At 38.6% G+C, this 12,739-nt stretch overlaps 1 protein-coding gene and 1 long non-coding RNA gene across 3 annotated transcripts in view; one reads left to right on the top strand and one right to left on the bottom strand.

The window, feature by feature from the left end:
• NF1 (neurofibromin 1) overlaps nt 1-12,739 on the bottom strand; it is a 282,699-nt gene that overhangs the window by 95,367 nt on the left and 174,593 nt on the right. The window lies entirely within an intron of this gene.
• On the top strand, nt 8,671-10,296 carry LOC101927057 (uncharacterized). The gene is made up of 2 exons (XR_243788.5): nt 8,671-8,732; nt 9,544-10,296. It is a non-coding gene; the product is annotated as an uncharacterized LOC101927057 (long non-coding RNA).

The raw sequence follows: 12,739 nt of genomic DNA, 5'->3' as shown, positions 1-12,739 counted from the left end.
CCAGGTTCAAGCCATTCTCCTGCCTCAGCCTCCCAAGTAGCTGGGACTACAGGTGCCTGCCACCGCGCCCAGCTGATTTTTTGTATTTTTAGTAGAGACGGGGTTTCACCGTGTTAGCCAGGATGGTCTTGATCTCCTGACCTCGGGATTCACCTGCCTCGGCCTCCCAAAGTGCTGGGATTACAGGCGTGAACCACCACGCCCGGCCCAAAATTGTATACTTAAAAAAAAGATTTTTTTTTTTTTTTCCAGACAGGGTCTCTCTCCATTGTCCAGGCTGGAGTGCAGTGGCTTGATCTCAGCTTGCTGCAGCATCAACCTCCCGGGCTCAAGTGATTCTCCCACCTCAGCCTCCTGAGTAGTTGGGACTACAGGCATCAACCACCACATCCAGCTAATTTTTGCAATTTTTTTTGTAGAGGCAGGGTATCACTATGTTGCCCAGGCTGGTCTCGAACTCCTGGACTCAAGTGACTCTCCCAACCTCAGTCTCCCAAAGTGCAGGGATTATAGGTGTGAGCCACTGTGCCCAGGCAATTGTACACTTCAAAAAGGGTGAATTTCATTTCAATGAATTTTTTTTTTTTAAACTTGCCTAGGGGGTCAGAGTCAGGTTATCAAGATGGGTATTAAATGGAAAGGATAATGTCCCATGATAAAGGAAGGGCATTCAAACCAGGTGGAAAAGAGTATGCAAAAGCAGAGAGACATGTGAGGATGTCAGGGCATGGCAAAGGGGGCAATGGTGAGATGGTCAGCATAGCTGAAGCACCAAGTAGAGTTTAAAGCATCCTTCTACAGACATTACCCAACACTATGATGATTTAAGATGATTAACCAGTATTATTCCATATAAATGATCAATTGAGACAAATGCTTTTAAGACTTTTTTCTAGCATTATAGTGGAGATAATGTACAAAACATTCATTTGTCATTCTGAGCTTTTTGGGCAGACTTTGTGGCTTAGCCAGCTCCTAGAGTCTTCTTGGATCAACTGCCCTGATGATACCTTCAACAATGTGTCATAAACACTTCCCTGAGAATAGCCCAGAAGTTCACACAGGCTTACTTGGAATCACATCAACAACAGTAGAATCATCAGATTTTCAGAATACAAGGTCAGCATCTAGCCTCTTACCAAAATGACTTTCGATCTGCTTTGGCTCAGCAATCGTGCAAGTAAGGTGAGCTGTATAACAGATTATGAAGAGACTTGTATGAGATGCTAAAAAATATTTTTATAAGCCAGTGACTTTTTGAAATGTAGTACATATATGATTGGGTGCTACATGAAACAGGCATTTCATAGTTCTATATTTCCTTTTACTGTTGCCTTTTGTTGGTTTTCTAGTTATGGCAATCAATATTGATTTTCCATTCACAGTATAAACTTTCCTTTAAGAAAAAAAAGTCTATAAAAATACTGAATAAATAATATAGATGGTTATGAAGAAATGGCAAAAAAAAAAAAAATCCCCGAAGTAATACATGAATACCTTAAGCAAGAAAACTTAGCTAAAAGGAGCACATAAAGATTTTACCTGGAAGTGAAATGGTCACATTTCAGAGAGATGATTCTGGCAGTAATGTGTAAGATGGAGGCAATCTTACACCGGGGTAAAATACCGGTGACAAATACTCCAATTAGGAAATTGTTGTAATAGCCTAGACCAGAGGTCAGCAAAGTATGGCCCACTTACAATATCCTTCCCACAGCCTGCTTGTGACCTATTTTTGTATGGCCTCCAGGCTAAGTATGATTCTTACTTTTTTTTTTTTTTTTTTTTTTTTGAGACAGAGTCTCACTCTGTCGCTCAGGCTGGAGTGCAGTGGCGCGATCCCGGTTCACTGCAACCTCTGCCTCCCGGGTTCAAGCGATTCTCCTGCCCCAGCCTCCTGAGTAGCTGGGATTACAGGCACATACCCACACACCACCACGCCCAGCTAATTTATCTTTAGTAGAGACGGGTTTTCACCATGTTGGCCAGGCTGATCTTGAACTCCTGACCTCGTGATCCACCCTGCCTCGGCTTCCCAAAGTGCTGCAATTACAGGTGTGGGTTCTTACATTTCTTTCTTTTTTAAAAAAAAAAAAAATTAAAAAAAAACTTTATATGGGCTATAAAGCCTAAAATGTTTACTATTTGGTCCTTTACAGAAAAAATTTGCCAACCCCAGCTTAGACAACTGCTGAAGCTACCAAATAAGTTGGTAGCATGAGAGTGAAGCATAAAACAAAATTTCTGAAGCAGAATCAGTAAGACTTAATGACTAATCAGATGTATGTGGTAAGAGCAGGTAAAAATTAAGATTCTATAAACTCAGACAGATAGGGATACTATCATCCAAGAGAAGAAAACAGAAAGGAGAGCATCTTTTTAAAATTAAATCATTTTTCTTTGATTATGAAAAATAAGTGACAACAAGCCAAAATTAGATAACAGACTTACAGTATTATACCATTAGGAAGACAAACTTGCTCAAAGATGGGCATTCACCCTGAGAACCTATGTTTTACAACTATGGAGAAATGTGTTCTTTTTCCTATATTAGATTTCTAAAATGAAGAGGCTGAGATTTTACTATTGAAGAGAATCATGCTTATATACAATTCTAGAAGGTACTCACAATTAGGCCTCTCATAACAATGGCCTGTCTTTTTGCATATCCATTGTTCACAAAACTCCCAAATAGTTTCTTCCTTTTTTTTTTTTTTTTAAAGAGGCTGGAATTCTCCTTTGTTGCCCAGACTGGATTCTGAGCTCAAGCGATCCTCCCACCTCAGGCTCCCAAGTAGCTAGGATTACAAAATAGTTTCTTGAAAAACAACTGTCTACGCTAAAAAGCCACTTTTCAGTGCTATATACTACTAAAATGTTTTAAATGTTCTACTTTTAAATATAGGTTACAAACCTAGTAGCATAAAAATTTTAATCCTGAAAACCTGAATTGCTTTCAGACAACATCAGGTGCATTCAGGGTGGTATGGCTGTAGGCCTGAACTGCTTTCAGAAATAACCAAACATACATAAATTCATTTCAAAACAAAATTTTTTTGAGACAGGGTCTCGCTCTGTCCCCTTAACTGGCTGAAGTGCGGTGGTGGGAACATAGCTCACTGCAACCTTGAACTCCTGGGGTCAGGCGATCTACTTGCCTCAGCTTCCCAAGTGGCTAAGACTATACAGGTGTGTGCCACCACACCTGGCTAATTTTTTTTTAAATGTACTTTGTAGAGACAGGGTCTCATGATGTTGCCCAGGCTGGTCTCAAACCCCTGGCTTCAAGTGATCCTCTTGCCTTGGCCTTCCAAAGCACTGGGATTATAGGCATGAGCCACTGAAGCTGACCTCATTTCAAAATTTTAGAAGTCCTATTTAAAAGAGACATGAAGGCCAGGCGCGGCGGCTCACGCCTGTAATTCCAGCACTTTGGGAGGCTGAGGTGGGCAGATCACCTGAGGTCAGGAGTTCCAGACCAGCCTGGCCAATGTGGTGAAACCCCATCTCTACTAAAAATACGAAAATTAGCCAGGCGTGGTGGCAGGCACCTGTAATCCCAGCTACTCAGGAGGCTGAGGCAGGAGAATCACTTGAATCTGGGAGGTGTAGGTTGCAGTGAGCTGAGATCGTGCCACTGCACTCCAGCCTAGGCAACAAGAGCGAAACTCTGTCTCAAAAAAAAAAAATAATAAAAAAATAAACGAATGAATGAATGAGACATGAGGCACAGGTGCAATGAGCATAGACATGGCATAAAACTTAATAGGATTTTCTAAAAAAAAAAAAAAAAAAAAAAAAAAAAAAAAAAAAAAGCTTCAATTACCAAGGCAATGTCTGTGCAAATATCACTCAAGAAAAGATCTCTGTGTTCTTTTCAAAAAAAAAAAAAAAAAAAAAACCCAAAAAATCCAAAAAGACCAAAGAAAAAAATTACAGAAGGGAAAACTGGACCTGTTTCTAAAGTAAAATATTAAAACTGCAATTTGAAATTCTCAAGAAAGTGCTATATGAAATTTATGATCATTCTCATCATTTTCAGAAATTACTTTTTTCCATTTTCTTAAGAATTTTGGAAGAATCAATACGTGAGGGAAGACAGTTCTGGAAACATTTCAAAAACAGATCAACGGAAAGTAATGTAAGTATATAAAGAAAGACACAATTTTTTAACTTAATTTTTGTTTTTTAGAGACAAGGTCTTGCTCTGTTGCTCAGGTTAGGGTATCCATAGCTCACTGTAGCCTTGAATTTCTGGGCTCAAGCAATCCTCCTACATCAGCCTCCTGAGTTGCTGGGACTATAGCTCACATCCCACCATGCCTGGTGATTTTAGGAAGATGATACAGTGTACATACAGCTTGTAGCAATTAAGGTTCTAGCAGGAAACAGGTGGCAAATTCAAACTGAGATATTAGAGATTATGTATAAAGGAGAAGGCAGGTTTTAAGGAAACTCTTAAGAGACAGTGTGATACTACACCTGAAGTAGTGAGTGCAGGAAGCAGTTAGCAGAAAGCAGACACAGAGTAGGTTGTGTGGAGAGGGTCACCCAACAAAAACCATACTGCATGGATGGATGTAGCCAGCCCACTGGGACCCTGCAGAAACGGAGCCAAAAATATATACCTCCTAACCTTACTCTCTTTCTTCTCCCTAATCTTCCGCTTGTATTCCCTATGGGCCAGCTGAAAGCCAGAAAGGAGGGGAGCCCAATGATACCCTCTACACAGGTCAGCCTCTTAGGGTACACAGCAGGGTAAAGAACAGAGTGGATTTGAAGAGGCAAAGGCAAGATGTCCAGCATGTAGTTATGTTAGTCAGCACGAACTAATTTCTGTCACAAATAATCCCAAAATATCACTGGCTAAGACAACAAAAGTTAATTTCTCTTAAATCATGCTTTCTAATGGTTTTACCATCTTCTGGCGTCTTGGAGACCCCCTCCACTGAACCGTCTGTTTCTAGTAGGCGTTGATAGAAGAAAGCAAGAATGGAAGATTGGTGAGAAGTTAGACATCAGGCTTAAAAATCATATACAGTTGACCCTTAAACAACATGGCTTTGAACCATGCTGATCCACTTATACAGAGGTTTACTTCCACCTCTGCCAGCCCGGGGACAGTAAGACCAATCCCTCTTCTTTCTCCTCCACCTACTCAACATGAAGATAAAGAGGATGAAGACCTTCGTGATAATCCACTTCCACTCAGAGAACAGTAAATATATTTTCTCTTCCTCATGATTTTCTGGGTAACAATTTCTTTTCTGGAGCTTATTTCACTCTAAGAATATAGCATATACAACATTTAACTTACAAAACATGTTAATCTGTTTATGTTATCAAAAGGCTTCCGATCAACAGTCTTATTAGTAGTTTAGTTTTTGGGGAGGCAAAAGTTATACGTAGATTTTCCATTGCGTGGAGATTCAGTGCCCCTAACCCCAGTGTTGTTCAAGGGTCGATTGTACATCATTGGAACTGACATTTTACTGGCCAGAACTCAGTCAGATGGTACCACCTAACTATCAGAATGCTAAGAGTGGTATGGTGCTGTGCCCAGAAGGAAGAAGAGAAACATGAATATGCTAAGTACTATTCTTATCATGTATTATGTAACACTCCAGTAGAAAATGGAACAGCACCCCAAAATCAATCTCATCAATATTTCTGCAGCGCAACATTAATATCCACACTAAGTGAAACAAAGATAGCTAAAAACCTCCCATCTATGCAGATAAGGCATTTGCACCAAATAAATTTTGGTGTCAAACTTTTTTATTTTTTGATAAAACTTAAGGTTTTTGGAGGATTTGGGGTTTCAGATTACAGACAAGGGATTATGAATGTGCATTATGATCCACATTGTACAAATGAAGAAATCTTCTCAAAACAGCAGCCAGGAAAGTAGAGATGAAAGTTAAACTCAAGCCTGTGCCTTCCAAATTTATGCTAATGTGAAGGGAAAACTGCAAATAACCAAATAACTCTTACTTTAGACATCATTAATGATACCAGCCCTCCGACATGGAGAAACAGGAGGTATTTCAATGAATTCCAATACTTATTGTGCCCCTTTTTTTTTTTTTTTTTTTTTTTTGAGATGGAGTCTTGCTCTGTCCCCCAGGCTGGAGTGCAGTGGTGCGATCTCAGCTCACTGCAACCTCCACCTCCTGGATTCAAGCGATGCTCCTGCCTCAGCCTCCCAAGTAGCTGGGACTACAGGCGCATACCACCAAGCCTGGCTAATTTTTTGTATTTTTAGTAGAGATGGGGTTTCACCGTGTTAGCCAGGATGGTCTCCATCTCCTGACCTCGTGATCTGCCCACCTCGGCCTCCCAAAGTGCTGGGATTACAGGCATGAGCCTGTGTCCTATTCTTTATAACTGGCCCTGTGTCCTATTCTTTATAAACACTCACTATATTAGAAGCTAGAGGGAATAGAAGGAATAAGAGGTGGTATCTTACCACAAAAAAAGCCAGAATATGGTGGAAGATTTAGTTTCTTTAGTGAAAATGAGACTCTGATCAAAGTATAAAGTACTAAAATGACTGATTCTGACGTGAAGAATTAGGGAAGGATCGTATAAAAGGTGCTGACATGAGTGGAGCTTGAAGAAACAACACAATTTTGAATGAGGAAAGTACAGTAGTACCCCCTTAACTGTGGGGGATATGTTCCAAGACCCCTCAGGGATACCTGAAACCACAGAATTACAGTATTGAACCCAATATATGCTGTGTTTTTCTCCTATACAGAAATACCTGTGATAAAGTTTAATTATAAATTAGGCACAGTAAGAGATTAAAAACAATAATAAAATAGAAGTTATAGCAATATACTACAATAAAAGCACATGCACATGGCATCTCTCTCAAAATATCTTATTGTACTATACTCGCCCTTCTTGTGATGATGTGATATGACACAATGCCTATGTGATAAGATGAAGTGGGTTGACTAATGCAGCACTGTGACACAGTGCTAGGCTACTATTAACCTCATGATACATCCAACTTATGTTTATTTCTGGAATTTTCCATTGAGTATTTTCAGACCATGGTGGACCATGGGTAACTGAAACTATGGAAAGTGAAACTTAGGATAAGAGGGGGCTATTATTACACTTTGGGCAAGTTGGGGAGGCTGCACAAAGATACAAAGTTGGTGGGTATTTGAAGACCTGAATAATGGCAAATTGACTATTGTTTGTTTGGGAACATTTGAGTACTAAATAGAATTTAAATTTTACTTAATCATCATGAAGAGGCCTGGAGAGCTTAAGATAAATAAGAAAGAGAAGATAATGAGAAATCCAGTGTTGGAGAAACATTTGGCTAGGTGATGATACAATTAACCAAGAGATTATGAGAAGAATATATCTAGATACAAAAATAGGAAGGAGAAAACACTAACTTCTGAATTTTAAACAAGTTGAGACTGAGGTGTTTGAAGCATCAATAAAGAGTTGTGTAAGTGTAGTACTCAAAAGGTCAAGATTAGAAAAATAGAATAAGTCACAGTTTGCTCAAGTTCGAAACATTACTATTACTATTACTATTACTATTACTATTACCAACTATATACCCCCCAAAGAAATCCACAGAATGAGCAAGTGAGCAGAGAGAGGACAATGACAAACTCCTGTAAATTACTGCAGTACTCCGATTCATAATATCTACTCTGGTTGCCAAGTAGTTTTTTTTTGTTTGTTTACTTCTTAGATCTGACCACATTAACCTCCAGTTAAGTGAAGTTATTATATGTACCATATAAATAAGATTTACCAAGCATGGTTCTATTCATGGTTTATTCATTCAGGGGAAAAATGATCTTCACAGCACAGTAAAACAAGTGAGGAACATGTACTGGCTTGTACTTCTGCCATTTATGTTGCAATTTCCTTGTATGTCAACACCATTGTTCACAGTCCTGCAATTTTTAAAGTGTGCTGGCCAATATGATGAAAACATTAGCAGAATACAACCCAATTTCCCTATATGCTAGTTATCATGGAAAACGGCTGACCAAAAGACAAAATTCCTTCAAAAAATTTACTTTATGCACTTCAAGGTGACTGGTTTAATACATTAAAAAACCATACACAAACACACAAAAGTTTGTAAACTCAGTATGAAAAAGTATCACTTTCATATGTAATCCTTTTCTTAAGTTTCATATTAATGAAGTTTAACTTCTTTTCTAAGGTTACTTTATTTACCAAAAATTAAATACCTGAAATGTTGTATTACTGAATTATTTTTTAAACTTCAAAATAACCATGGGTAGAAACTGCCCTATAAACATATGTACAGATGTTCTAAGGAAAACGCAGACACCTTTAATACACTTACTTGGTTTAAAATCATAATAATCACAGCAGGCAAAATAGTAAATTCATCTAGTTAGAGTCAATCCAGTGAAGCAATTCATTAATGTATACATGGTAAGAGGAATAACAAATGCTATTCACTGGATTCTTTAAATTAGCAAGCAGATTTTAGAACTTTATTTGAATTCTTTAATCTCTGCCAAAGTCTATCTGTTTATATGTAGTTGTCTGGAAACACTCAGTTGGATACTTCCAAAGAGCAAATGGCAGGTCAAGTTTAGAACACATGACTTCCTCACTAATTATATTTAAATAGCATGCAGTGAGTGAGAAATCAGATTCCCCATAGACGCTGGAGAAAGACTGAATTCTTACTCTTCAAAGAAAAATATCAAAAGGTAACATTAATTTGAAATGTTCTCAATTACATATTAGAGCCAAATGTAACTTTTAATATATATGTTAGAGTTCTACAGTTAAAATTTGGGCTTTAAGTCACAGACTTAAGTTCTAGCTTGGGTCATTTTTAGATATGCACCCTCAGGTAAGTTATGCCCCTTGTCTGAGCCCATTTGCAAAATGAAGGAGTTGGTTTTGTTCATTTCTAAATCTTAAAACTATGAACTTCTCTAGTTTGTTATTGTTGTTGTTGTTGTTGTTAATGAAGAAAACCTCATCCCAGCACTGGGGAAATGCTTTGGTTTAACCTCTTTAGTCTTTGGGTAAATATTTAGAAGTAATATCCTAATTTGTGACCTAAACTAAAACCTTAAATTGTTGGAATAAAGGTCATGAGAAATCAAGAAAATACCAATATTTATTTCATTATTTCTTTTGTTGCTCTACTGTCCCAAATTGCCTCTCAGTCTTTGCCCCTACCCTACTCTATACTGATCTCAAGCCCCCATATTTATTGCATTGAATGTCTAGAGTTTTATTTTTTTCCTTTTTTAAATAGAAAAATGCCAATTAAGCTCTTTTTCAGTCTTGGGATTGTTTTTGCCTTCAGTTGGTAGCCCTCAATAGAAAATAGGTCTTGTGTCAGCAGATGTTGACAACAAAGAAAGGGAAGCTTTTAATTTGTTCACTAATAGTGAAAAAGCAAACATTTACATAACACAAATGTACTGATAAACACAATTAAGGATATATGCTTGCCTATTTGTGATCCAAGTGTTCAATTAAAATTATATAATTATTGTGAAACAGAGGAGGATGATGTTCAAGCTATCACCGATTGGCCTGCTCTTCATGTTTGTTAACATTCCGGGGACAAACTTCAACATCAACAACCTCAAATTCTATGGCAGTATCCAATCCTGCGTCAAGCCTGAATCCCGGGACCAGACCTAATCCCAGGAAGAGCACCAATCCCAGAATGAACCCCAATCCTGGGATAAGCCCAGATCTCAAAATGACCTCGAGTCCCAAGATGACTCCAAATTCCAAGACAAGTCTGAATAGAGCAGTGACCCCAAAGAGCCACAACTATGAATATGAATACTGTGACAAATGGTAGCACCAATCCTGGGACAAGCCCAAATCTCAAAATGACCTCAAATCCCTAGATGACTCCAAATTCCAAGACAAGTCTGAATACAGCAGTGACCCCAAAGATAGCCACAACTATGAATATGAACACTGTGACAAATGGTAGCACCATACTCAATCCAATGGACAACATTTATTTTCTATGTAATATTTTTGCTGTTTTGTGTATACTTGCACTCAGGCTGAAGTGAACTTCAACTGCCTGCATTCTTATCTCAGTTTCTTATTATTGCTGAATGACAAGCATGCTAGGAAAATATCATTTATTTCAATTTACTATTTAAGAAATTATCATCTTGATTTTTTTTTGCAAATTATAATTGTGTACGTTTAAATATTAACTTAATATGATGTTTTCCTTCCATATGAAAGAAGTATGCACTACCTTATTAAATGCTGAAACAAGCAAAATACCATGTTTGCCTTTTAAATGTTTGCAAAACTGAACCAAAACTCAGATATTTATATTAAAGGTGTAAGAGAAGAAATTATGTAGGTGGGGTGTGTGTGTGTGTGTGGTGTATGTGAGAGAGAGCACACACATGAGAGTGAGAGAGCGAGTGAGCAACAGTGACAGAGAGATGAAGGATAGGGGATAGGGGATAGAGGATGGGGGTGTGGGATAAGGAGTGGTATGGGGGAAGTTGTTTTTGTATTTTATTTTTATTTTTTTGAGACAGAGTTTCACTCCTGTTGCCCAGGCTGGAGTGCAATGGCATGACCTCAGCTCACTGCAACCTCCACCTCCTGGGTTCAAGCAATTCTCCTGCCTCAGCCCCCAGAGTAGCTGGGATTACAGATGCCCACCACCACGCTCGATTAATTTTTTGTATTTTTAGTAGAGGGGTTTCACCATGTTGGCCACGCTGGTCTCAAACTCCTGACTTCAGGGGATCTACCCGCCTTGGCTTCCCAAAGTGCTGAGATTACAGGTGTGAGCCACCATGCCCGGTCTATATTTTATTTTTTATTAAACAGACAAAAAATGCTAATCTGATAAACTAAAGCGCTCTACAAAATAACACATTCATCTGTATTAACATATTTCATGAATGTGTTAATAGTAATATGTCATTTCGCTAAGAAAAGGTGCCAATTCTGCTAACCTTTGTAATGTATAATGATATTGCGCCAATGACAAGATTATCTTATATTGAGTACACTCTTGTCTTATGTTTCAAAAAACCATTTGTAAATCAGATGCCTGGAATCGAGAACTTATTTTCCCCAGAGTAATATATCTCATAACTGTTGGTTAGGTTTTCATGCTCATCTACAAAGATTTACCCAAGCATACAATTATAATAGTAATAAGCATGTAATTAATAGTGCATTTGTTAAGAGCTTTGGCTTAGGTTTGAAACCGAATTCTGATTCTTACTAGTTGTGCTACCATGAATTAAGTACATGACCCAGTGAGATTCCCAAACTTTAGTAATAAATGAAACACTTGGAGTGCCTGTTAAATATATAAATAAGGCCCTGCCCCTGAGATTTTGGTTTGGAAATGGGGGCTGGGGATATGTTTGTTTTAATGTTCCAGATCATTCTGATAGCCATGTTTGGGTTTCAGTTTATACGTACGTCAATTAATTGTTAATAATATCTCAGAAGGTTATTATGTAGATTAAATGAGAAATTATGTAATATGCACAGTTTCCTGATGCAGAGAAAGCACTTAGGAAATGTTAGCTATTATCATTATTTACTACTACCACCCAAAAAGCAATTGCCAGGTATCACAATATTCCTAAGAGGAAAACTCTTCTTTGTAACTTGGGGTTTTTGTTTTGTTTTGTTTTAATGTATTCTTTCAGAGAAGGCCTCACTCTGTTGCCCAGGCTGGAGTACAGTGGTGTGATCTCGGCTCAATGCAGTCTTGACCTCCCAGGATCAAGTGATCCTCCCACCTCAGCCTCCTGAGTAGCTGGGGCTACAGGTGTATGCCACAATGTACGGCTGATTTTTGTATTCTTCCGTGGTGACAGGGTTTCACCATGCTGCCCAAGCTGATCTCAAACTCCTGAGCCCAAGTGATTTCCCCGCCTTGGCCTCCCAAAGTGCTGGGATTACAGGTGTGAGCCACCTTGCCCGGCCACTTTGGGGTTTTATATTTTTAATTATTCTTACAAAAACAATATATGCTCCTGGCAAGCCAAACAACATAGAGATAGATAACAGAAATATTAAATTGGTCCTCTATCTCCTCCAATCACACTTCTGAGATAAGCAATGTGAACAGTTAATATGTATACTTTCATACATTTCTCAGTCTACACATACACATGTGCAGGTGCACACACACACTGTCGTGTACCTTGTAAGGTAAGTGTCAGAGTCATCTTTCTGGGCCTTTTTAAAGCTGGATGTAGAGGACTTCTGCTACTTCTGCCTGCCCAGTATCCATTTTGCCTCATTCTAGTAACAGCAATTCAATTTTCCTTTGTGAAAACCCTGCCCCCATGCCCTCCTTTTAGTTCATGCAATTTGGATAGGGCTGGCTTTACCACTGCATTCCAGGAAGGGGCACATGATCCAGGCCTAGATAACCAAGAAATTCCATCCCCCTTGCCATAGTGACTGCCTTAGGAATGGCATGTGACTCACACCAGGCCAGTAAGACCAACCACTTTTGCTGAAACCACAAAACTGGGAAAGAGGTGTTTTTCCTCTGGGATTGTTAAGCTGGGAGAACACAAACCATTACCAGCCACAGCTAGGGAGCAGCTGCTTGGGAATAAAACCGACACAAAGAAAGTAGAGTTAAGAGCCAGAGAAGACAGATGTTCTGCAGATGATACTGTTTAAAGCTCTGCAGCTAGTCATGCAAGAAACTAATACATCTCTTGATTTT

Source organism: Homo sapiens, chromosome 17, assembly GCF_000001405.40.
Source record: "Homo sapiens chromosome 17, GRCh38.p14 Primary Assembly".
NCBI classification, from domain to species: Eukaryota; Metazoa; Chordata; class Mammalia; order Primates; family Hominidae; genus Homo; species Homo sapiens.
The sequence above is the reverse complement of the archived record's forward strand: the minus strand, read 5'-3'. Positions and strand labels throughout refer to the sequence as shown.